General features: G+C 46.3%; 2 protein-coding genes across 67 annotated transcripts in view, besides 3 other annotated features; one reads left to right on the top strand and one right to left on the bottom strand.

Annotated features, from left to right (window-relative positions):
* WDR20 (WD repeat domain 20) overlaps window positions 1-2688 on the bottom strand; it is an 85417-nt gene extending 82729 nt beyond the window's left edge. For 30 of the 65 annotated variants that reach the window (NR_038354.2, NM_001353658.2, NM_001353681.2 and 27 more), the window contains exon 1: window positions 1939-2214. Coding sequence is in view for 41 of the 65 variants with exons in the window: in NM_001353681.2 (NP_001340610.1) it covers window positions 1939-2187 (249 nt within the window). In the remaining 24 variants the exon portion in view is untranslated. Of the gene's footprint in view, window positions 1-1902; window positions 2215-2381 lie in introns of those variants that run through there. The other 35 variants (XM_011537339.3, XM_011537335.3, XM_011537337.3 and 32 more) reach the window with 4 other exon arrangements.
* Window positions 1959-2118: an enhancer, noted in NCBI's record as "active region_9066". NCBI's record gives its function as "activates an Ori minimal core promoter by ATAC-STARR-seq in GM12878 lymphoblastoid cells {active_cell/tissue: GM12878}" and the evidence as "EXISTENCE:reporter gene assay evidence [ECO:0000049][PMID:35858748]".
* Window positions 2129-2178: an enhancer, noted in NCBI's record as "active region_9065". NCBI's record gives its function as "activates an Ori minimal core promoter by ATAC-STARR-seq in GM12878 lymphoblastoid cells {active_cell/tissue: GM12878}" and the evidence as "EXISTENCE:reporter gene assay evidence [ECO:0000049][PMID:35858748]".
* HSP90AA1 (heat shock protein 90 alpha family class A member 1) overlaps window positions 2362-26103 on the top strand; it is a 59008-nt gene continuing 35266 nt past the window's right edge. For both annotated transcript variants that reach the window (XM_011536718.3, NM_001017963.3), the window contains exon 1: window positions 2362-2861. In XM_011536718.3, coding sequence (XP_011535020.1) covers window positions 2707-2861 — 155 coding nt within the window. In that variant the 5' untranslated portion in view covers window positions 2362-2706. The remainder of the gene's footprint in view (window positions 2862-26103) is intronic.
* Window positions 2779-2974: a silencer, noted in NCBI's record as "fragment chr14:102605474-102605669 (GRCh37/hg19 assembly coordinates)". NCBI's record gives its function as "represses an EF-1alpha promoter that drives an FKBP-Casp9 reporter gene in an ReSE screen in HepG2 liver carcinoma cells {active_cell/tissue: HepG2}" and the evidence as "EXISTENCE:reporter gene assay evidence [ECO:0000049][PMID:32094911]".

Genomic DNA, 26103 nt, shown 5'->3' with positions numbered 1-26103 from the left:
AATTTTTTGGTGTGGTTTTAAAAACCTTGCCTCCTTTTACCCTTCAGGGAATAGCGTCCCACTAAAAGAGAACACTATTGTAATGATACTTCCAGGCAAGAAACCTGTCTTTATGATGTAAAACAGGGCTACCAGATCCAGATAAGGTCTGCCATTAGGATGCTTCAGAAGTCATAACATTTCAAAGAAAAAAAAATTTTTAAGTAATTCCTACATTAATAATTGCTAGTTAGTGAATTTAGTTTTTAAGCACATCGTATTTTTATATAAATATAAATTTTTATAACTTAAAATTCTAAACTTAATTTCCTGAGACAAAATTGGTCCTTTCACTCTGATTATCAATGTCAAGACAGCAGCTTCTTATTTGACAGTCAGTATTTAACTATATTTTACATCTACTGAGTGTTTCAGGGCCTTAAAGTTCATTATGATTATTATATTATTAATTACAACGTGCACTGTAACATTCCCTTTTTAAAGAGGTGCAAATAGAAGTTAAATAACTTATCCAAGGTCACCCAAACAAGTCAGTGACAAAGTTGGGAGTAGGAGTAAAACTTCAGCCCCTAGACTGAAGACTACTTCGAGCTTTTGCAATTCCAAACGAGGAAAAAAAAAAGGTCAAGCGATTTACCCTTAATAACTTCCAACAGCATACCCTAAATACAGTGGTACACTTATTATCATAAAGACTAAGAAAAAAAGATTCACCCTGAATCAAAGAAACAACTTTGCTACATTTAGATACCACTGTCATTTCCCTAGCTCTTGTAACAAGCGAAAATCCTGTACTGGATCTGGCTATATTAAATCCTGAAGAATGTTCACTCTTCAATATGAACAATTTATTTTCATGCTAACATGCATTTACGACTTAATCTTTTATCACCTTGTCCTATTTGGAGGTGCTGTGGGATGCATTAATTTCCTCACTCTTCCATGACATCAAGTCAAAGACTACAATCTCAAAAATAAGCAATTCTCAGTGAAAACATAGTTACATAGCCAATGAAAGAAAAACTCTAATAAATGGCTGCTTTTAAAGAGATACTTTTAAAGGATGCTTACATGTTTCACAGAATTACCGGTAACTCGCCCGCCAAGAAGGATGGTCCCTTTAAAGCAGCTTTTAAAGCATATCACTCCCTGTTTGGGACACAGTCTGACTTGTTGGACAAGATTAATCTGGGCACTCTCACACAACCCCTCTGAACCAGCTTAGTTCACTGGAAACATCATTTCAACTGTAGTACTCAGCCCTTCGCATACTACAAGGGACAAGATGACTCTCCTTAACAATCTTTCAGAAGGTCCCCACGGCGGAGACAGTGACAGCCGTCCTCCCGCGGATGTTTTTGGAAATAGAAATGTTAACACCAGGAGAGGCTCCTAGGAAGTGTCAGTGCGGCAGCAGGTGGAGTAGCCCTGCGTGCCGAGCAGGTTCTTTCTGACCTAGTCTCAATGCTCCGCTTCCCGGCCCCGGTTCCGCCTTACAGAGATCTTGTTAAGCCGTCTTGCGTCCCTGTTCTCTAACCCAGGGCGAGACTTCCAACCCTCCAGGGAGGCGAGGCAATCGAAGCAGACAAGACGGCCACCTCACCTCTTCCGGGGACTCGCAGGCCCGCTCCCTGGCCATGTCAGAGCCTGATGGACCAGGCTGGAGGGGACGCAGCCGGCTCCCCCGGGAGCCTCCCAGCCAGAACCCCCGCGCCCCACGGTCCCTTTCCACTGCCCCCACCCCTTCGAAACGCCACCGCCACCACCCTCCTTACTCCTGAATCCCCTCTCCTCAGGAGTACCCCAGTGGAGTTACCGGCCCACTCAAAAGTAAGAGCGACGGCCACCCCTCTCGGTCACCCTGGCCCCACTGTCACCGCCCTGCTCCCGGCCTCTGCCTACGCCGCTGGCTGGCTCCGGTGACGCCCGGGTCGGTACCTTGCGGACCCCCTTGTAGATATAGAAGTACAGCTCCCGGCCCACATTGAAGCAGAGGCGGTCGCCGTTGCCAGACTGGTCGTTGAGGTTTACGAAGGAGACGCGGACAGGGTTGGATCCCTGCGAGTTGAAGGGCACCCGGTTGGGCCGGCTGTACTCCGAGTGCGGCAGCAGCTTGTACAGACCTTCCCGGGTGGTGAATTGGGTCTTAATCTCGTTCATCTCCTTCCCTCCTCCCTCCGTCGCCATCTTGGAAAGCAGCGTTCATCCTGCCCTAAGTGCCCGGATCACGCCCACCGCGCAGGCGCTGTTCCTGGTGCTCCCTCTTCCCCCACCCCCTGCCTCTTCCTTCTCGCCCCTCCCACCCGCGGGCCAGCCCTGCGAGGGCGGGCCAAAGGGAAGGGGTGGGCTTGTTTACGGCCCGACTGCGCAGGCGTGCTCACCTGGCGTGCTCCACCCGACTGGGCGTCCGCAGGCTCCTCCCCCGGGTGTGGCCTCCGGGCGGCATGGCTGCTTCCCAGGTGATGCCGGCTTCAGCTAGTGGGGTCTAGTTGACCGTTCCGCAGCCGCCAGGGCCAGCGGAAAGCCGGTCAGGGGGAACCGCGGCGGGGCTGGTGTCATGAGCCTGAGGTGAACTTGAGGGTGCCTCCTCAGCGGTCTCCCGCCCTGCCCTGAGGGGCGCCGGGACCCCAAAGAGCGGAGGAAGAGCGCCACCCCGACGGCCACCGCTTCGGAGCCAGCACGCGGGGTACCCTACGGGGAGCGCGGATGCCCCCGTGTTCGGGCGGGGACGGCTCCACCCCTCCTGGGCCCTCCCTTCGGGACAGGGACTGTCCCGCCCAGAGTGCTGAATACCCGCGCGACCGTCTGGATCCCCGCCCAGGAAGCCCCTCTGAAGCCTCCTCGCCGCCGTTTCTGAGAAGGTACCAAGGGACTCAAGATTTACGCTTCACTATGTTTTATTTCAGGCGGGGTAGGGGGAGAGAAGAATGTGGTACAGCATAGGTGTTCTCAAGCCAGATATCCTAATTCCTGCGTGTGATGAGCACTGGCGGCCTCCGCTTCTTAGCGGAGGTTTGTCCTCTCCAGCTGTTCAGAAACACGGGGCGGGGAAGCGCTTTGGGAACCGGGGACTGAATCTTTTTAGGATTCACTGATCTTGCTCAGTAGGTTACGAAGAGCTCTTAATAAAATTTAAGGTAATTGTTTTTTTTTCCAGAAGCCTCAGGTGGAGTCTGTGAGATTATTTACTAGTAGATCCATAGGGATAGTTGTATGCATGTAATGTACAGGGTCTAGATTTATAAGGACGGGCACACGTGTCAAAGTAAGATTCAACAATCACTATTTTATACCTGGGTTTCTTGGCATGTTACACCAGAATAAGAAAGCTTCTAAAGTGACAGAAACATTCTAATAGAATTCCAGGGAGGGGGGAAGCCAACATTTGTAACACCAAGAATGATCTATTCCTGGAAGTTCAGATTATATCTGGAGGGGCACAAAAGAAGTGAATGGAGAGAATTTCTAAAGTAGGAGGAGTGTAAATCATAAACATCTTCCGTATTAAAAAGCAAGTAGATACCAATAGAAACTGTGCCAATGATGTAGTAATACATTTGATAATAACATCTTTAGCCTTTGTAGTGTTGGAAAAAAAAAAGAAAAAAAAGCACTGAAGTACTTCTTAATTAATAGAGCCTGAAAAATACTTAAAATTTTTTCTTAGAATTGTTTTGATGTTATCCGACTTTCCCTAATCTTAAAACACCAGGGTATGTTCTGTCGTTACCATGGCTATATCCCAAACTCCATAACTGTGTTATTTTACATTGAAAACACGTATTTTACAATAATCAACTTGAAGGATAGTGGCATCTTGAATCATCTAAAAATAATTTATCTGTGTTTCCTAATTATCAAGAGGAAAAAAAGTATAATTTTTGGGGGGGGAAAAAAACCCAGCGAGCAAAAGTTAAAACAAAATTTTGTATTATTCTTCAATTAACCATAACATTGTATTTCCCATAATACCTATATAATTCAAGCATTCTATCAAGATTTTACCCTATATAAATTCAACATTTTATTATAATCACAGTAATAAACTGTTCACTTTGTCTCATGCATAGCCTTTGGTTTAGTTTTGTTTTTTTTTTCTTAGATGGAGTCTCGCTGTCGCCATGCTGGAGTGCAGTGGTGCAATCTTGGCTCACTGCAACCTCTGCCTCCCAGGTTCAAGCGATTCTCCTGCTTCAGCCTCCCGAGTAGCTGGGACTACAGATGTGCACCACCACGCCCAGCTAATTTTTGTATTTTTAGTAGAGATGGGGTTTCACCATGTTGGCCAGGATGGTCTTGATCTCTTGACCTGCTGATCCACCCACCTTGGCCTCCCAAAGTGCTGGTATTACAGGCATGAGCCACAGTGCCCAGTCCCATGCATAGCCTTTGAATAGTCTCTATTTTTATTCTTTTTATCTCATAACTTTTCCTCCATATTCAAAGATTCAATAAGCAACACCCAAATCTAAATAACTAGGCCTGAATGGCTGGGCGTGTTGGCTCACACCTGTAATCCCATCACTTTGGGAGGCCGAGGCGGGCAGATCACGAGGTCAGGAGTTTGAGACCGCCTGGCCAACATGGTGAAATCCCATCTCTACTAAAAGTACAAAAATTAGCCAGGCGTGGTGACACATGCCTGTAATCCCAGCTGCTCGGGAGGCTGAGGCAAGAGAATTGCTTGAACCCGGGAGGTGGAGGTTGCAATGAGCCGAGATGGCACCACTGCACTCCAGCCTGGGCAACAGAGCGAGACTCCATCTCAGGAAATAAATAAATAAATAGATAAATAAATAAATGGGCCTGACCTAATTTTATTTCTGATTTTCAATTTCAAACCGGGAATTTAAAAAAAAATTTTTTTTTTGAGATGGAGTCTCACTCTGTTGCCCAGGCTGGAGTGCAGTGGCACAGTCTCAGCTCTCCGCAGGCTGGAGTGCAGTGGCACAGTCTCAGCTCTCCGCCTCCCAAGTTCAAGCAATTCTCCTGCCCCAGTCTCCCGAATAGCTGGGATTACAGGCGCATGCCACCACACCCAGCTAATTTTTGTATTTTTAGTAGAGACGGGGTTTCACCACGTTGGCCAGGCTGGTCTCGAACTCCTGACCTCAGGTGATCCACCCACCTCAGCTTCCCAGAGTGCTAGGATTACAGGCGTGAGCCACCGCGCCCGGCCTCAAACCAGGTATTTCTTTTTTTTTTGTTTCCTTTTTTTTTTTTAAGAGAAGTCTCGCTCTTGTCCCCCAGGCTTGAGTGCAATGGCTCAATCTCGACTCACTGCAACCTCTGCCTCCCGGATTCAAACGATTCTCCTGCCTCTGCCTCCCAAATAGCTGGGATTAAGGCACCTGCCACCACACCTGGCTAATTTTTGTATTTTTTAGTAGAGACAGATTTTAACCATGTTGGCCAGGCTGGTCTTGAACTCCTGACCTCAGGTGATCCACCAGCCTCGGCCTCCGGAAGTGCTGGGATTATAGGCGTGAGCCACCGCGCCCGGCCCAAACCGGGTATTTCTTTTTTTTTTTTTTTTTTTTTTTGAGACGAGTCTCACTCTGTCGCCCAGGCTGGAGTGCAGTGGCATGATCTCGGCTCACCGTAACCTCTGCCTCCCGGGTTCAAGCGAGTCTTCTGCCTCAGCCTCCCGAGTAGCTGGGACTACAGGCATGTGCCACCAGGCCTGGCCAATTTTTTTGTATTTTTAGCAGAGACGGGGTTTCGCCATGTTGGTCAGGCTGGTCTCGAACTCCTGACCTCGTGATCCGCCCACCTTGCCCTCCCAAAATGCTGGGATTACAAGCGTGAGCCACCGCGCCCGGCCCAAACCGGGTATTTCTAAATAAATTCATCAGTTTCTAAACCTTATGAATTATTTTTTCATTTCAAACTTGAATCATTATGATGGTTTTGTGCATTAATTCCTTCTAAACAACTACCAAAATAATTTTCTAAAAACAGTGCTTTAGACATTACATATTCTTTTGTCCAAAAACTTTCAATTATTTGAAATACCCACACAATTTAAGTCATACTGAGAGGTTACAACGTGCTGGCAGTCCTCAGAGCCCTGGCTTGCTCTCGGCGCCTCCCCTGCCTGGGCTCCCACTTTGGTGGCATTTGAGGAGCCCTTCAGCCCCCCACTGCACTGTGGGAGCCCCTTTCTGGGCTGGCCAAGGCTGGAGCCCACTCCCTCAGCTTGCAGGGAGGTGTGCAGGGAGAGGCGAGAGCGGGAACCGGGGCTGCGTGCGGCTCTTGCGGGCCAGCTGGAGTTCCGGGTGGGCGTGGGCTTGGCGGGCCCCGCACTTGGAGTAGCCAGCCAGCCCTGCTGGCCCCGGGCAATGAGGGACTTAGCACCCGGGCCAGTGGCTGCGGAGGTGTACTGGGTCCCCCAGCAGTGCCGGCCCACCGGCGCTGTGCTCGATTTCTCGCCGGGCCTTAGCTGCCTTCCCGCGGGGCAGGGCTCCGGGACCTGCAGCCCCCATGCCTGAGCCTCCCACCCACTCCATTGGTTCCTGTGCGGCCGGAGCCTCCCCGACGAGCACCACCTCCTGCTCCACGGCGCCCAGTCCCATCGACCACCCAAGGGCTGAGGAATGCGAGCGCACGGCGCAGGACTGGCAGGCAGCTCCACCTGCAGCCCCGGTGCGGGATCCACTAGGTGAAGGCAGCTGGGCTCACACCAATCAGCACCCTGTGTTTAGCTCAAGGTTTGTGAGTGCACCAATCCACACTCTGTATCTAGCTACTCTGGTGGGGCCTTGGAGAACCTTTATGTCTAGCTCAGGGATTGTAAATACACCAGTCGGCACTCTGTATCTAGCTCAAGGTTTGTAAACACACCAATCAGCACCCTGTGTTTAGCTCAAGGTTTGTGAGTGCACCAATCCACACTCTGTATCTAGCTGCTCTGGTGGGGCCTTGGAGAACTTTTATGTCTAGCTCAGGGATTGTAAATACACCAATCGGCACTCTGTATCTAGCTCAAGGTTTGTAAACACACCAATCAGCACCCTGTGTTTAGCTCAAGGTTTGTGAATGCACCAGTCGACACTCTGTATCTAGCTGCTCTGGTGGGGCCTTGGAGAACCTGTGTGGAAACTCTGTATCTAACTAATCTGATGGGGACGTGGAGAACCTTTGTATGTAGCTCAGGGATTGTAAACGCACCAATCAGCGGCCTGACAAAACAGGCCACTCGGCTCTACCAATCAGCAGGATGTGGGTGGGGCCAGATAAGAGAATAAAAGCAGGCTGCCCGAGCTAGCATTGGCAACCCGCTCGGGTTCACTTCCGCACTGTAGAAGCTTTGTTCTTTCTCCCTTTGCAATAAATCTTGCTACTGCTCACTCTTTGGGTCCACACTGCTTTTATGAGCTGTAACACTCACCGCGAAGATTTGCAGCTTCACTCCTGAAGCCAGCAAGACCACGAGCCCACCGGGAGGAACGAACAACTCCAGACGTGCTGCCTTAGGAGCTGTAATACTCACCGTGAAGGTCTGCAGCTTCACTCCTGAGCCAGTGAGACCACGAACCCATCAGAAGGAAGAAACTCTGAACACAACCGAACATCAGAAGGAACAAACTCCAGACGCGCCACCTTAAGAGTTGTAACACTCACTGCGAGGGTCCGCGGCTTCATTCTTGAAGTCAGTGAGACCAAGAACCCACCAATTCCTGACACGATACACCAGCACTTCTCAGCCTGTTTCTTACCTACTGCATAAATTCTCCATTCCAGTCTAACGTTTCTACTGTCATCCTTTTTTTTTTTTTTTTTTTTTTTGAGACAGAGCCTTGCTCTGTCGCCCAGGTTTGAGTAGTGGCTCCATGTCGGCTCTCTGCAACCTCCACCTCCTAGGCCCTGGCAAACCTCCCAAGTAGCTGGGACTGCAGGCATGTGCCACCGTGCCCAGCTAATTTTTGTATTTTTTATAGAGACGGGGTTTTTTTTTTTTTGAGACAGGTCTCACTCTGTTGCCCAGGCTGGAGTGCAGTGGCGTAATCTCGGCTCACTGCAACCTCTGTCTCCCAGGTTGAAGCAATTCTCCTGCCTCAGCGTCCCAAGTAGCTGGGACTACAGGCGCCCGCCACCATGCACGGCTAATTTTTGTATTTTTAGTAGAGATGTGGTTTCACCATGTTGGCCAGGCAGGTCCCAAACTCCTGGGCTCAAGCAATCAACCCACCTCTGCCTCCCAAAATTCAAGGCATGAGGCACCATGCCCAACCTGCTGTCATCCTTAGCTATGTCCCTTGCTAGAGATGACCTTCCCCCAACTGCCCCTCTTTCTCCTTCATAGTGTATTCTTTAAGAACTAGTTTAGGCTGGGCGCCGTGGCTCATGCCTGTAATCCCAGCACTTTGGGAGGCTGAGGCGGGCGGATCATCTGAGGTCAGGAGTTCGAGACCAGCCTGACTGACATGGAGAAACCCCGTCTCTACTGAAAATACAAAATTAGCCAGGCGTGGTGCCATATGCCTGTAATCCCAGCTACTAGGGGGGCTGAGGCAGGAGAATCACTTGAACCTGGGAGGCGGAGGTTGCAGTGAGCCGAGATCACGCCATTGCACTCCAGCCTGGGCAACAAGAGTGAAACTCCATCTCAAAAAAAAAAAAAAAGAACTAGTTTAAATCCCATTCTCACCAAGCCCTGGGTAATAAAACCATATTTGAAACCAAAGATTCTCAACTCAGGACCCATAGTTGGCTTCAGGGAATGTTTGAACTCCCTATAATTGTGTTCAAAATTTTGTGTACATATTCATTATATCATTAGAGTCTTATCAGCATGTGTTAATTATCTTCTATTGTTTTGTTTTGTTTTGTGATGGAGTTTTGCTCTTGTTGCCCAGGCTGGAGTGCAATGGCATGATCTCAGCTCACTGCAACCTCCACCTCCTGGGTTCAAGCGATTCTCCTGCCTCAGCCTCCTGGGTAGCTGGGACTACAGGCGCCTACTACCATGCTTGGCTAATTTTTGTGTTTTTAGTAGAGATGGGGTTTCACCATGTTGGCCAGGCTGGTCTTGAACTCCTGACCTCAGGTGATCTACCTGCCTTGGCCTCCCAAAGTGCTGGGATTACAGGCGTGAGCCACTGCGCCCAGCCCGCCCCCACCGCCGGCTCCCTTTTTTATTTTTTTTTTTGAGACAGAGTCTGGCCCTGTGGCCCAGGCTGGAGTGCAGTGGCACAATCTCAGCTCACTGCAACCTCCACCTCCCGGGTTCAACCAATTCTCCTGCCTCAGCCTCCTGAGTAGCTGGGATTACAGGTGCGCACCACCACGCCAGCTAAATTCTTTTGTATTTTTAGTAGAGACAGGGCTTTGCCATTTGGCCAGGTTGGTCTCGAACTCCTGACCTCAAGTGATCTGCCCACCTCGGCCTCCCAGAGTGCTGAGATTACAGGCATGAGCCACCACGCCCAGCCCCTTGTATTGATATTTATGTTTTTTACATATATGCTACCTTTTAGCCAGATTGTATGCACACTTAAGCGTAGGAATAACCTTGTTAAAATTCTCTGTTGTCTCAATTTTTTTTCTTTTTCCTTTTTTTAGAGACAGGGTCTCACTATGTTGCCTGGTCTGGAAGTACAGTGGTACAGGCCCGGCTCATTGCAGCCTCAACCTTCCAGGCTCAAGCCATCCTCCTGTCCCAGCCTCCTGAGTAGCTGGGACTACAGGAACGTACCACCATGCCCAGCTAAGTTTTATTTTTATTTACTTATTTATTTTTTTTGAGACTGAGTCTTGCTCTTTTGCCAGGCTGGAATGCAGTGGTACGGTCTCCACTCACTGCAACCTCCACCACCCGGGTTCAAGCTGTTCTCCTACCTCAGCCTCCTGAGTAGCTGGGACTACAGGCATGTGCCACCACGCCCAGCTAATTTTTGTATTTTTAGTAGAGATGGGGTTTCACCATGTTGGCCAGGATGGTCTCAATCTCTTGACCTCGTGATCTGCCCGTCTCGGCCTCCCAAAGTGCTGAGATTACAGGCGTGAGCCGCCATACCCGGCCATTTTTAAATTTTTTATGAAGACAGCCTCACTATGTTGCCCAGGCTGGTCTTGAACTCCTAGGCTCAAGTGATCCTCCTGCCTTAGCCTCACGAAGTGTTGTGATTACAGGTATGAGCCACCACAGCCAGCCTGTATTCTCACATTTTTGAGTGACTACATATGCTACATTGTTGTAACTTTTGGGATGCATCAGTAAACAGGAATTCCTCACTCATGGATTCCATATTCTTACAGGGAGAAAACAAAGGATAAGCAATAACAGAAAGGCAATGAGCACAACTAAGTACATCATGTAGTGATCAGCACTAGGAAGAAGAAGTAGGTCAGGGTAAGAGAGATTGAGAATATGTCAGGTAATTTGCAGTTTCAAATATGTTGGTCAAAATAAGGCTCTTTGAGACAGTGACATTTCTGTAAAGACTTGAAAGAAGTAAGGAGGTGGGCCATGGGAAGAACTGGGAAAAGAGTGGACCAAGCACAGGAAAAAACTAGAGCAGAGACCCCGAGGCGGAAGTGTGCCTAGTGTGTTCAGGGAACAGTAAGAAGCCATTATGGCTGGAGCAGAGTGAGCAGGGAAACCATTGCAGGGTTTAAGAATTTATTTGTTTGCTGGTTTGAGAATAGATTTAAGGAAGCAAGAGTAGAACAGGAAGGTCACTAAGGAAGCTAACTGTAGTAATCCAGGCCACAGGTGCCAGAGGTAGGTAGCAACTGAGATGAAAAGAGGCTACAGAATCCTACATATACTCTGAAGGTAAAGCCGATAGGATTTCCCAGCAGATGGGATGTGGCTTGTGGGAGAAATGAAGGAGTCAGGAATGACTCCAACGTAGGCATAAGCAACTGGACGATGGAAATGCCATTAACAGAGATGAGGAAGGCTGAGGAAGAGCATGTTTTGAAAGGAAGATCAGGAATTCCGTTTTTCACATGTTGGGTATGAGATATCAGGCATTCACAGGGAATGTCCAGAAGGCAGTTGAATAATCAAGTCTGGAAAGAGGTCTGAGCTGCCCATCTGTATTCTGCAGTTATCAGCAGATAGGTAGTATTTAAAGCCTGGATAGGCTGGGCATGGTGGCTTATGCCTGTAATCCCAATACCTTGGGAGGCTGAGGCAGGAGGATCACTTGAACCCAGAAGTTCAAGACCAGCCTGGGCAATATGGTGAGACCTTGTCTCTACAAAAAAAATTTAAAAATTAGCGTGGTGGTGTATTCTAGCAATCCTAGGAGGCTCAGGCAGGAGGATCACTTGAGCCCAGGAGGTTGAGGCTACAGTGAGCTGTGATTGCACCACTACACTCCAGCCTGGGCAACAGAGGGAGACCCTGTCTCAAAAAAACAAAAATTAACTCAGAATGAATTAAAGACCTAAATGTAAGAATTAAAACTATAAAACTGGAGCTATGATCACACCACTGCACACCAGCCTGAGCAACAGAGCAAGACCCTGTCAAAAAAAGAGAATGGACAAAGGATCTGAATAGACATTTCTGCAAAGTTACACAAATGGCCAGGGAGCACGTGAAAAGATTCACAACATTATTAGCCATCAGGGAAATGCAAATTAAAACCACAAGGAGATGTCACTTCATATACACTAGGATGGCTATAATCAAAAAGATAAACAATAACAAGTGTTGGTGAGAATGTGGAGAAATTTAAACCCCCATGTACTGCAGATAGGAAGGAAAAGTAATATAGCCAATATGGAAAATAGTCTGGCAGTTCCGTAAAAGTTTCAACAGTTACCATAGGACCCAGCAATTCCAATCGTATGTATATACCCAAGAGAAATCAAAACATATTCACACGGCCGGGCGCAGTGGCTCATGTCTGTAATCCCAGCGTTTTGGGAGGCCGAGGCAGGTGGATCATGAGGTCAGGAGTTCGAGACCAGCCTCACCAACGTGGTGAAATTGCGTCTGTACTAAAAATACAAAAATTAGCCAGGTGTGGTGGTGCGGGCCTGTAATCCCAGCTACTCAGGAGGCTGAGGCAGGAGAATCGCTTGAACCCAGGAGGCGGAGGTTGCAGTGAGCCGAGATCACACCATTGCACTTCAGCCTGGGCGACAGAGCGAGACTCCATCTCAAAACAAAACAAAACAAAAAAAAAATTTCACACAAAAACTTATACGTGAATGTTCACAGCGGCATTATTCAAAATAGCCAAAAAGTGGAAACAAACCAAATGCCCATCAACTAATGAATGGATAAACAAAATGTGGTATATCCATACAATGGAATATTAATCAGCTATGATAGAAAGGAATGTAGTTGTCGGGCGTGGTGGCTCACGCCTGTAATCCCAGCACTTTGGGAGGCCAAGGCAGGCAGATCACATGGTCAGGGGTTCGAGACCAGCCTAGCCAACACGGTGAAACCTCGTCTCTACTAAAAAAATACAAAAATTAGCTGGGAATGGTGGCGTGCACCTGTAATTCTAGCTACTCGAGAGGCTGAGGCAGGAGAATTGCTTGAACCCGGGAGGCGGAGGCTGCAGTGAGCTGAGATCAAGCCACTGCACTTTAGGCTGGGCGACACAGCAAGACTCCAACTCAAAAAAAAAAAAAAAAGGAATGTAGTATAGAGACAGAAAGTAGATTTGTGGTAGCCTAGGGATGGGGAAATGACAGGGAAGGAGTCGTGACTGCTAATGAGCCCAGGGTTTCTTTTAGAGGTGATAATTGCACAGTTCTGAATATACCAGAAACCACTGAATAATAGTCGTTGGGTGAATTATATGTGCAGTTAAAAAAAATCAAACCTAGCCAGGTGGGCGTGGTGGCACATGCCTGTAGTAATCCCCTGTAGTAATCTCGGGAGGCTGACAGGAGAATTGCTTGAACCCTGGAGGCAGAGGTTGCAGTGAGCTGAGATTGCCCCACTGCATTCCAGCCTGGGCGACAGAGTGAGACTCCGTCTCAAAAAAAAAAAAAAAAAAAAATCAAAACTAGAGCCACTCTATCTATAGTGCTCAATTTATTTTTCAAACAGCTGCTAAATTATCCAGGCATAACTACTTATTAGGTTGTTTGAACTGTACCTGGTAAATGGAACTGTTAGATTTTTCTATTGGTCCAGGGAGCGCCATAAAGAAATTCTGAAACACTAAGGGCTCTGAGAACCAAGAAAACTTGGGAATCACCGTAAGGCATAAACCTTTCTCATTTCTTACCTTCCAACTTATACCTCCCTTCTTATCTCTATCTGAACCCATTCTTATTCTTCTAGGTTAAAAGAAGAAGTACCTCTTCTCTTCTTTTCTTTCTTTTTTCTTAAGATGGAGTGTCGCTATATGGCTCACGCTGGAATGCAGTGGCATGATCTCAGCTCCCTGTAACCTCCGCCTCCTGGGTTCAAGCAATTCACTGTCTCAGCTTCCTGAGTAGCTGGTACTACAGGCATGCACCATCACACCCGGCTAATTTTTTTTTTTTTTTTTTTTTTCCGAGACGGAGTTTTGCTCTTACTGCCCAGGCTAGAGTGCAATGGTGCGATCTTGGCTTACTGCAACCTCTGCCTCCTGGGTTCAAGCAATCTCCTGCCTCAGCCTCCCGAGTAGCTGGGATTACAGGCGCCCGCCACCATGCCCAGCTAATTTTTTGTGTTTTCAGTAGAGATGGGGTTTCATCATGTTGGCCAGGCTGGTCTCGAACCCCTGACCTCAGGTGATCCACCCACCTCGGCCTCCCAAAGTTCTGGGATTACAGGCGTGAGCCACTGCGCCCATCCTAATTTTTGTATTTTGGGTAGAGACGGGGTTTCACCATGTTGGTCAGGCTGGTCTTGAATTGCTGACCTCAAGTGATCCACCCACCTCGGCCTCCCAAAGTGCTGGCATTACAAGTGTGAGCCACCGTGCCCAGCCACCTCTTCTTTTCAAGATCAATTTCTCCACCATGTTCTTGTAACAAATTCCTGGTCTCCTCTAGGACACCCTGCTCCAGCAGCAAGTTACTGTTTCTCCTGGGCAGACTCCCACACTGCACTGCCTCCTCCCATGTAGTATGAGCCTGCTGAGCAAAGAAGAGAGCAGCACAGAAGAACCAATGTTCATTTCTGCTTGAGAGTTTGGCAGTGTGTTGGTAATTGTTAATAGAATTGCTTCTTTCTCCAATTAAAAACAAAACATGGCTGGTGTGGTGGCTCACACCTATAATCCCAGCACTTTGGGAGGCCGAGGCAAGAGGATAGCTAGAGCCCAAGAGGTCACAACCAACCTGGCAACATAGCAAGGCCCTGTCTCTATAAAAATAAGGTTAGCCAGGCGTGGCAACACACACTTGTAGTCCCAGCTACTCGGGAGGCTGAGTTGGGAGGATCGCTTGAGCCCAGAAAGTTGAGGCTGCAGTGAGCTGTGTTCATAACACTGCATTCCAGCCTGGGCCACAGAACAAGACCTTGACTCAAAAAATGTATGTGTATATATATAATAAAACAAAACACCTCTGCCTATTGCTTACTGTCTCCAGTCCCAGCCTTGAAAGAGTCACAGCTGTCTCCTACCCCCTCAAATAAATATAACTCCATGTGTGCTATTTTAATTATCTTAGACTCTAGGGATAAGACTGAAATGTGGGTTCCAAACCATAGTAATAAAGGGAAAATACAGGAAGAAAATAAGAGAACTGTCATAAGGCTGGGACATTCTGCCTCAGTCACAGAACTAATTGAATTATTACAGTATGTTAGAACTGAATTCAAATTAGGACATCACTTTTTGTAGATAGAACTCATGCTAGCTTTGTTTTTCATTGTTAAGCTCCTCCAGTAAGAAGTAAAACAACAGCTTATCCAAGCAGCTTAATGAGCATTGTGGGTTTTATCTTTGCAAAGATTAGAGCAAGGACGTTCAAGCTTAATAGCCTCAATAACAGTTCCTAACTTTTTTCTATCTGAGATCCTGAAACAGGAAAGATGAGATTTTTTAAAGAGCTAGTATGCTATATGTAAAGAAAAAATTAACTTGTTACTTATATATAATTATAAGTACTTATTGGGAGGAGGCTATGAAGAGGTGATTTAAAAAAAAAAAAAAAGTACTTCTCACTCTCTGAAGAGCCTCATCAGCATTATTGGCCTTTTGAGAAGCAGCCAGTAAAACAGTGATTTTTAGCCATAGATTGCTGTAAAGTAGTAGCTGGGGCCTGTGGCAGGAAGTAAGATTCATTTGTTAATTTAAAAATTCATTTTAGGAGTTACTGATTGGGAAAACAAAAACACAGTTTATGATATTAAAAGAATCTAGTCGGCCGGGCGCAGTGGCTCACGCCTGTAGTCCCAGGACTTTGGGAGGCCTAGGCGGGCAGATCACGAGGTCAGGAGATCGAGACCATTCTGGCTAACACCGTGAAACCCCATCTCTACTAAAAGTACAAAAACAAAGTTAGCCGGGCGTGGTGGCGGGCGCCTGTAGTCTCAGCTACTCTTGAGGCTGAGGCAAGAGAATGGCGTGAACCCGGGAGGCGGAGCTTGCAGTGAGTCGTGGTTGCGCCACTGCACTCCAGCCTGGGAACAGAGCGAGACTCCGTCTCAAAAAAGAAAAAAAAAAAGAATCTAGTCGAGGATGCAGTCAGTATCTACCCATTTAGACTCCGAGTTTCTTGAGAGGAGGAGCCATTCTTTTTCCGCTTTAAGAATCCCCTAAGATATTGCTAAGCACATAGTAAATAATCAACACATACTGAATTGGATTTCTAGTTTGTTCCTCTTCCATCTTCTTCATATTTTTGCGTTTTGTTTTTCTCTTTTCCTGGTGTTTCCATGTCCACGTGTCCCCTTACTGAGCTATGGTAACTTGTAGTTCCTCATACCTGTCACACCTGTGCTTTCATGCTTTTGCATAAGTGAGATTCCCTTTCCTCTCTGTTCATCAGAGGGAATAGAAGGCCGCTCATCCCAGAAGACTTCACTCCAAAAATCACTCCTGCCTGGTATGCTCTCTGCTTATTCATCCCTCACTTTTCAACTTAAAGGCTGCCTTCTCAGAGAGGCTTTCCCTGAGGCCCCAAATGTAAGTTATGTCACCTTATTTTCTCATGGAATTATTTCCCGTATAGCACTTAGCACAATTTCTAATAATATATACATCATACACACACATATTTATATGTTTTCTTAAATAAAAGCCACCTCCCTCAGTAGACCGTAAGCTTATAATAGGGATCCTGCCTATTTTTGTTTGGCATGTCGTGTGTAGATTGGGGCCTGACATTCAATAGGTACTCAATACACACTTGCCAAATGAGTGACTCACCTTTGAGAAAGATTCTCTTTTAGCACCTTATGTTAATACTTAACTTTATTATGACATTTATTACATTGCTGTCTCATCTCACTAGGTTGTTCGCTACACACGATTGCAGTTCACAGACTTAAAAATATGCTCATGCATGCTTTCTTTTCTTATACCTTCCCCCTGAGGTTAAACTCTGCCTTAGGTCACATTACTCATGCTTTCAGAAAGCTCTGCTTCTAGCTTTCTGAGCGGGGGAGATTCAGCCCCTTGTTTATTTTATGTATTTGGCTTTCAGGTAAATATCTACTTAGCATGCCCATTGTTCACTCACTTCCTTAGTCCCAGCTCATTCTGCTTCCCTCTTCCTAAAAAATAACAAAAACGAAACACTCCTGTCCTTGGAGAATAATTTTTGCATATGGTCACATTTCAGTTTAGTAGGATAGAATATTGAATTTGCTGGATAGGTTTTAACATTGCAAGAATTATCAACTGGGTTTTTATTGTGGCTCTAGATCTGTTTGTTGGGATAAGAAAAGATTATGAGGTTGGGCACAGTGGCTCATGCCTGTAATCCCAGCACTTTGGGAGGCTGAGGCAGTCGGATCACTTCAGCCCAGGAGTTGGAGACCAGCCTAGGCAACACAAGGAGCCCCCATCTCTACAAAAAATAAATAAAAATTAACTAGATATGGTGATACATGGCTATAGTCCCAGCTACTTGGGAGGCTGAGATGGGAGGATCGCTTGAACCCAGGAGTTTGAGGCTTCAGTGAGCTGTGATCACACCACTGAACTCCAGCCTAGGCAACAGAGTGAGACTTCATCTCAAAAAAATAAATAAAGATTATGAATGTGGGCACTGAATGATTTTTCTTTTTACCATGTCTTTCTCATCTATAGCAATGCTTTATAGATTGTTGGTGCTCAATAACTATTTAGTGGATTGAATATATACTCAAAAAAGAGCACTGGACTTAAGGTCAAAAGACATAACATAAATTCTATTCATGATCACATTATTTAATATTGTGACAGTATAGTACATAAAAGTTTTAAATGAAATTATTATTTATATATGATTAGATGTTGGAAATCTAAGAGGATCAACTGAAGAACTGTAAGAAACAATAAGAAGCCAAGCATGGTGGTATACACCTGTAATTCCAGCTAATCAGGAGGCTGAGGCAGGAGGATTGCTTGAGGCCAGGAGTTCAAGTTTACATTGTGAATCATGATAGTGCCACTGCACTCCAGCCTGGGGGATATAGCTAGACTCCCATCTCTAAAAAAGAAAAAAAGAAACAATAGACAATGTAATATAGCAGATTTAAAAAGTAGCATTCAGGCCAGGCACAGTGGCTCACACCTATAATCCCAGCACTTTGGGAAGCCAGGGTGGGCAGATCACCTGAGGTTAGGAGTTCAAGACCAACCTGGCCAACATGGTGAAACCCCCACCTCTACTAAAAACACAAAAATTAGCTGGGCATGGTGGCGAGCACCTGTAATCCCAGCTATGTGGGAGGCTGAGGCAGGAGAATCACTTGAACCCAGGAGGCAGAGGTTGCAGTGAGCCCAGATCGTGCCATTGTGCTCCAGCCTGGGAGACAAAGTGGAACTCCATCTCAAAAAAAAAAAAAAAAAAATTAGCATTCAAACATCAATAACTGTCTCTACTTTCTCTGTCAAATAGTAACTAATTTAAGTATAATGGAAGAAAATGTCACATTCACAATAACAAAATAAGATAAATAGGCTGGACGTGGTAGTTTCCGCCTGTAATCCCAGCATTTTGGGAGGCAGAGGCCAGGAGTTCATGAGGAGCCTGGGCAACAGAGGGAGGCGCCATCTCTTCAGAAAATTTAAAGATTAACCAGGTGTGGTGGCACACACCTGTAGTCCCAGCTGCTGGGGAGGCTGAGGTGGGATCATTGCCTGAGCCCAGGAGGTTGAGGCTGTAGTAAGCCATGTTTACACCCCTGCACTCCAGCCTAGGTTGGCAGAATGAGACCCTGTCTCAATTAAAAAAAACACGGTTGCTAGTATACATCTCACAGGGAAGTGGGGGGTGCCTTTAATTTCATTGACTGCAGTGTGAATGGTGCCCCCTGAGATGAACCACACAGTTTCTCTGAATATATTTAGAACATGTTCATAAACTATCTGGACATAGTGGCTTATGCCTGTAATCCTAGTACTGTAGGAGACCAAGGCGGGAGGATCCCTTGAGGCTAGGAGTTTGAGACCAGCCTGGACAACATAGTGAGATGCAATCTCTTAAAAAAAAAAGAAAAAAAAAACCACAAGGTTTTAGAAACTACTTGAAGAGCACTCTTAAATTCTGAAGAAACAAAATAATTAAAACACCTCATTCTTAGGTAACAAGACTCAACATTGTAGAAATGACAGGGTTTTTTGTTTTTGTTTTTGTTTTTTGTCTTTCTTTTTTTAGACCGAGTCTCGCTCTGTTGCCCAGACTGGAGTGCAGTGGTTGTGATCTTGGCTCACTACTGCCTCCCAGGTTAAAGCAATTCTGCCTAACCCTCTCAAGTAGCTGGGATTACAGGGGCCTACCACCACGCTCGGCTAATTTTTTGTATTTTTAGTAGAAATGGGGTTTCACCATCTTGGTCAAGCTGGTCTCGAACTCCTGACCTCAGGTGATCCACCCACCTTGGCCTCCCAAAATACTGGGATTACAGGCATGAGCCACTGTGCCTGGCCAAAATGACAGTTCTGTCTGGATCAGTGTGTAAGTTGAATTCAGGCCAAATCAAAATCAACAGAATTTTATTTACAGTTTGTCAGAATTATTCTAAGTTTCATTTGGAATAAGCATTTAAGAATCACTATGAAAAAGAAGAGTATTGGCTGGGCGCAGTGGCTCATGCCTATAATCCCAGCACTTAGGGAGGCTGAGGCGGGTGGATCACCTGAGGTCAGGAGTTCGAGACCAGCCTGGCCAACGTGGTGAAACCCCGTCTCTACTAAAAATACAAAAATCAGCTGGGCATGGTGGCAGGCACCTGTAATCCCAGCTACTCGGGAGGCTGAAACAGGAGAATCGCTCGAACCCAGGAGGCAGAGGTTGCAGTGAGCTGAGATCGAACCCTTGCGCTCCAGCCTGGGCAACAGAGTGAGACTCTGTCTCAAAAAATATATATAAAAAATAAAAAAAAGAAAAAGAAGAGTAATGGCAGGAGTGGAGTGGGGGGACTTGCCTCCCAAATATTAATATGTATTATAAAACCTCTTAAGCTGGGCACAGTGGCTCACGCCTATAATCCCAACACTTTGGGAGGCCGAGGCAGGTGGATCACAAGATCAGGAGATCAAGACCATCCTGGCTAACACAGTGAAACCCCGTCTCTACTAAAAACACAACAAAATTAGCCGGGTGTGGTTGTGGGCACCTGTAGTCCCAGCTACTCGGGAGGCTGAGGTAGGAGAATGTTGTGAACCTGGGAGGTGGAGCTTGCACTGAGCCAAGATCACACCACTGCACTCCAGCCTGGGCGACAGAGCGAGACTCCGTCAAAAAAAAAAAAAAAAAAAGTCTTTAAACAGATCCTTTTCCTAAAATGGAATAAGTACAGAATTAGACCCCAATAAAAATGGACATATGATAGAGATGGCAGGATTAATTTAAGAAGAGGTATTGGAACAACCAACTAACCATTTATAATTTTAAAATTGGATTCCTACTTCCCTCCTCACTCCAAAATAAACTCCAGATAGAGCAAAGATTTTAATATAAAAAATAACCATAAGAGAAAGAAATGACTTGAATAAATATATTTATAATCTTGAAGTGAGGAAAGCTTTTCTAAACATAGCCCAAAATTCAGAAGCCATAGGATATTTTTATTTTATGTCTTGCATGGCACAAGACACCATATGAAAAGACAACAACCTTGGAAAAAATATTCACAACACATATGGCAAGGGATTAACATCCTTAATAATAAAAACTTATTTCGAGCAATTAGAAAGAAAACCCAGTAGAAAAAAATAGGCAAAGGACATAAGCAAGCAATTCACAAAAGTTGCATTCATTAGGATTTTTGTTGATGACTTCTGAGTTTCCTGTCATGCCTAGAAAGAATTTCCCCACTCCAGGGTGCTCATTGTTTTCTAATAACTAAAGAAATGCAAATTGAAACTATTTTTTACTATCACATTGGAAAATATCAATTATCAATATAAAATTGATAATAGTGTTAGCACAGATGTTAATGTTGGCACAAGTATTAAGAAACAGGATGGGTTCACATACTTGGTGAGAAAAAAAACAGGCATTTTGATTTTCCATTAGTGAGAATGCAAGTTGCTGTTATTTATTTGGAGGGCAATTTGATCATTTCTGTCAAAATACTTATTGTAGTTATGTGATTTGACTCAACTCAAGTTCTAGGAATTTACCCGCATAAATGTACAAAGATTATGTGTATAAGGATTTTCACCAAAGCATTGTTCTTAATAGTGAAAAATTGGCAATAATCTAAGTACCCATCAATAGAGAATTCAATAAATAAATTATGGAAATGACATACTTTACAGCTGTTAAACAATGAATTCATAAACTTACATATACTGACATGAAAACATATCCAAAATATATTAAATGAAAAATACAGGCCTGGTGTGGTGGCTCACACCTGTATCCTAGCACTTTGGAAGGCTGAGGCAGGAGCATCAATCATTTAAGCCCAGGGGGTTGAAGCTGCAGTGAGTCATGATCACACCATTGCACTCCAGCCTGGGCCACAGAGCAAGACCCTGTCTCAACTTTACGTGTGTGTGTGTGTGTGTGTATGTGTGTGTGTGTGTGTGTGTGTATGTTGCAGATTAGTATGTATAATATTTCATTTTCTGAAAAGCAGAAATTTTTTTTTTTTGAGACTGAGTCTAGCTCTTGTTGCCCAGGCTGGAGTGCAGTGGTGCAATCTCAGCTCACTGCAACTTCCACCTCCTGAGTTCAAGCGATCCTCCTGCCTCTGCCTCCTGAGTAGCTGGGATTATAGGCGCCCACCGCCACGCTAATTTTTGTATTTTTAGTAGAGATAGGGTTTCACCATGTTGGCCAGGCTGGTCTTGAACTCCTGACCTGAGGTAATCGGCCCGCCTCAGCCTCCCAAAGTGCTGGGATTACAGGTGTGAGCCATCGCACCCGGCCTAAAAAGGTAAAATTTGTATATACCTATAACAAAATAGGTTTTATTAAACTCTGAGTTTGAGAACTGACTTCATTACTTACTAACACTTTCACTTTTTAGAGAGTAACCTCTCTAAATCTATTTTCTTGTGTTAAAGTTAGAGTAATACGTATTTCTTATGTGTGTCAAAAGTTCAAAAGACAAAATATATAAAATCTCTTTGTAAATGGTAATGTACTATATAAATATATGGTAATCAAACAAAAGTCTTTAAATGTAAATGACTCCCATAATCATCTGTATTCTTTTCGTGGGGGAGGGTGGGACAGGGTCTCGCTTCATCACCCAGGATAGAGTGCAGTGGCATGATCACAGCTCACTGTACCCTCATCCTCCCAAGCTCAAGTGATCCTCCCACCTCAGCCTCCTGAGTAGGTGGAATTACAGGCACATGCCACCATGCCTAGCGAATTATCTTTTGCAGAGATGGGGTCCCACTGTGTTTCCCAGGCTGGTCTCGAACTCCTGGGTTCAAGCAACCCTCCTGCTTCAGCCTCCCAAAGTGCTAGGATTACAGGCATGAGCCACCACACCCAGTCTGTATTCTAATAAAACTAAGTAGCCCTATAATTATTACTTTTTAACTTGATTTAATAACATAAAGCTTAATATCTTTTTGGTGTGATAAGTGATTCTTAAGTTTTTATAGCATAACATACCCCTTAGGAAACTTCAGGAAAGCTTTTAATTTCATTCTCCAACCCAAATGTATATGCATACCAAATTTTGCATACAACTTTATGGATCATATAGACACTCCCTCAAAACAAAATATCATTCCACGGATTACTGCTATGAATTCTAGTCTTCAAAATGCATAAAGAAGAGGAAAACGGCCGGGTGTGGTGGCTCACACCTGTAATCCCAGCACTTTAGGAGGCTGAGGCGGGCGGAGCACAAGGTCAGGAGATCGAGACCACCCTGGCCAACATGGTGAAACCCTGTCTCTACTGAAAATACAAAAATTAGCCAGGCATGGTGGCACGTGCTTGTAATCCCAGCTACTCCGGAGGGTGAGGCAGGAGAATTGCTTGAACCTGGGAGGCGGAAGTTGCAGTGAACTGAGATCGCACCACTGTTCTCCAGCCTGGGTGATGAGTGAGACTCCGTCTCAAAAAAACAAACAAACAACAAACCACAACTAGTTGGTAGATATGATAGAAGTTTCCATATGCAATAATTATGAATAAGATAAAACCCCTAAGAATATACTTAATAAGAACTGTGCTAGATCTTTATGATGAAAATTTTAAAATGCTATTGAAGGACTCAGAAGAACAATTAAATACATGGAAAGGCACACCATGTTCTTGAGTAGAAAAACTCAACATCATAAAGGTGTTCTTCCTAAGTTAGTCTATAAATTTTATGTGATTTCATTAAATTACAAACTAAGTTTGGATAGTTTGGATACTAGGCAATATTACTTCAAAGTTCAAGTGGAAAAAGTAAAAAAGCAAGAACAGAGGCTGGGCGCAGTGGCTCACACCTGTAATCCCAGCTCTTTGGGAGGCGAGGAGGGTGGATCGCTTGAGCTCAGGAGTTTGAAACCAGCATGGGCAACATAGTGAAACCTCATCTCTACTAAAAATACAAAAATTAGATGGGTGTGGTGTCAGGTGCCTGTAGTCCCAGCTACTTGGGGGGCTGAGGTGGGAGAATCACTTGAGCCTGGGAGGTGGAGGTTGCAGTGAGCCGAGATTGCACCACTACACTCCAGCCGGAATGATAGAAATGAGACTTTGTCTCAAAAAAAAAAAAAAAAAGGAAGGAAAAGCAAGAAGAGTCAGAGGAATTCTAAAAAGAATGTATGGGGAGGGGTAGGCAGGGGAATCAGCTCTGTCAAATATTAAAATATATAACAAAACATGTAGTTGTTGCACAGGCATGTATAGAACAGAATGAGAAATCCAGAAACAAACTCAAATACACCTAAGAATTTTGTATGTGATTTTTAAAATGTTATTAATATTATTTAAAATCTGTAGGTAAAAGATGAATGTTCAATAAATAGGATTAGGATTGCTGGGTAATCATCTAGGAAAGTGGATGAAAGATTAAAATATAAAAAACAAAAAGTGACCGGGCATGGTGGCTCACACCTATAATCCCTGCACTTTGGGAGGCTGAGGTGGGCAGATCGCTTGAATCCAGGAGTCCAAGACCAGACTGGGCAACATAGACCCCATCTCAATTAAAAAAAAAAATAAGTAATAGAAGTAATGAAGGGGAGACATTTTTAATCTCAGAGTATGGACATTCTTTCTAATATGACACAAAATTTGAAAGCCATAAAATAAATCGTGATCACATTAAAAAGTGGTTTTTTATCTGATAAACCACTATAAGTGTTGCAGGACCTTAGGGGTTATCATTTTTCTGGCTAGAAACCTCTGTGGCTGGTGGCACCCTTGTCTGAATTTTGCTTGGGCTCACTGGGCTCATTCTGCCCATTCAGCCTGGCAGGCTGTGCTTGGCTCATGCTACCAGCCTGGATCCTATGCCTCCAGGGGAGTCTGTAAGTCAGGCATGGAGCAGTGAGGGGTGTATGAACGAGCGTGGAGTCCAGCCACTGTGCAGTCAGACATGCCAGCTGCTGCCATGGAGCAGGCAGCTCCAGGTGCCAGCACAGGCAATGGCTCTCTACAAGGCTGCAGCTGGACCAGGGACATCGCAAGCAGCTTCCCCAGCTGGCACTGGGGAATGCAGTGGTGCCTAGAAGCTTGGAGACACCAGGAACTGCAGGGCCCCAAAGAGAGACTCAAAACCCTGGCTCAGGGAGCTCCCAGGTCTCCCAGGTCTGGGCTTCCCAAAGGGCCACAGCTCTTCTCTCCTTCTCTTCGCCCGCAACGTGGTGAGCAGTGGGCATGTTTTAACCCTGTTTGTGTTACAGTTCTTTTAGTTTCGCCATTCGGTGGGTCCTGAGTTTTTGTCCTGTGAACAAGAAGAATGAGGTATGCAGACAAGTGAAGGGTGAGCAAGATGAAGAGGAGCTTTATTGAGTGGTAGAACCGCCCCGAGGAGACCTGGAGGAGGTAGCTCCTTTCTGCAGCTGGGGGGTGTTCAGCTCCTAGCAAAGAGGGTAGCTCCTCTCTGCTAAGCAGGTCATCCCGAGGAGTGTTTAGCTCCTAGCGTGGAGGGTAGCTCATCTCTGCAGCTGGTCATCCTGTCTTCAGCTCTGCTCTGGCTGAGTCCTGGGCTTTTATGGGCCTCAGAGGGGAGGAAGTGCACACTGATTGGTCCATGGGTGGCCATAAGTGGGCCTGGAAAAGGCACCACAAATTCCCACTCCAGTCCATGGGACTGGCAACCTGGCCCCCAGCCTTCAGGCCCTCCCTGGCCTGAAGGTGGTGCTTCACTGGGGACCCACCCCTTTCCACCCTGGAGCCGGTCTACTTCCTACAACTTTTCACGGCACCCAGGCTGTTCCTGCTGAGGGGTGCCTGCAGGCCAGTGCCGAGCTGCCCTTAGCACCCCCCTTGGCGTCTCTCCCATGCTCCTCATTACCAAAAGTCCAAAGAGGGAGGTTGACATGTTAGTGCTGCACTGAGCGGGTGCACACCCAGCCAGGCTGGGACAGCGCCCAGGCTCAACCCCCATGCCACTCTGAGATCGGAGTGGGTGCCAGGAGTGGGGAGAGGCCAGGCAGCAGAAGCAGACACCCCCAAGCCTGTGCCCTGAGGGCACAGAGTGCAGAGATGCCCAGATCCTACACCTGGGAGGGTGGGGCTCCCACCACTGCATGGAGCTTGCAGGCAGCCTGGGGCAGGGGCTCCAGGTCCTCAATGGGCCCCTTTCTGCCTGCCCACCCCATGCCCAACTGCTTCTCTGTGCCCAGCCCCATTGTGGCAGCGCCCAGGGTGGTGGGTTCTGTGGAGGGCAGGGAGTGTTGGGGAGGGTCCAGCTTGTCCCTGGCTCCTGCTGGCTCTGTGGTTCATGGAACTGCCCCAGGCACAGCTCTACCTCCTCCCCATGCCCTCTCCGCAGTGGCAGTAGGCTAGAGTGGTGACACGGGGCCAGGGTCCAGAGCAGCAGAGGCTCCAGGCCTGGGAACAGGTCTCACCTGACCATGCAAGGGTGGGGGCAGCACAGTCACCTGCCTCGGGAACGTGGAGCACAGGGGACCCACTGCCACCATTCCTGCTCCCGCAGCTGCCCCTGCCGCCACTGCTTGCACCTCCCCGCTGTGGCTGGTGCAGTGGCCACTGCCATGATAAGCAAGATCAACAAACAACAAACTGGAAAAAGAATAAAGGACTCCTAGAAATCAATAAAAGAAAGGCTAAAAATCTAATGGACAAAGGATCTGAGCAAACAGGAACAAAACAGAAACACAACTCTCTCCACCATTAAAAGATGCTCGGTCTTGGCCGGGCACAGTGGCTCATGCCTCTAATCCCAGCACTTTGGGAGGCCAAGGTTGGTGGATCACGAGGTCAGGAGATCGAGACCATCCTGGCTAACACGTTGAAACCCTGTCTCTACTAAAAATACAAAAAAAATTAGTTGGGCGTGGTGGCGGGCACCTGTAGTCTCAACTACTTAGGAGGCTGAGGCAGGAGAATGGTGTGAACCCGGGAGGCAGAGCTTGCAGTGAGACGAGATGGCACCAC

The sequence above is a fragment of the Homo sapiens genome, chromosome 14 (genome assembly GCF_000001405.40).
Source record: "Homo sapiens chromosome 14, GRCh38.p14 Primary Assembly".
NCBI classification, from domain to species: Eukaryota; Metazoa; Chordata; class Mammalia; order Primates; family Hominidae; genus Homo; species Homo sapiens.
The sequence above is the reverse complement of the archived record's forward strand: the minus strand, read 5'-3'. Positions and strand labels throughout refer to the sequence as shown.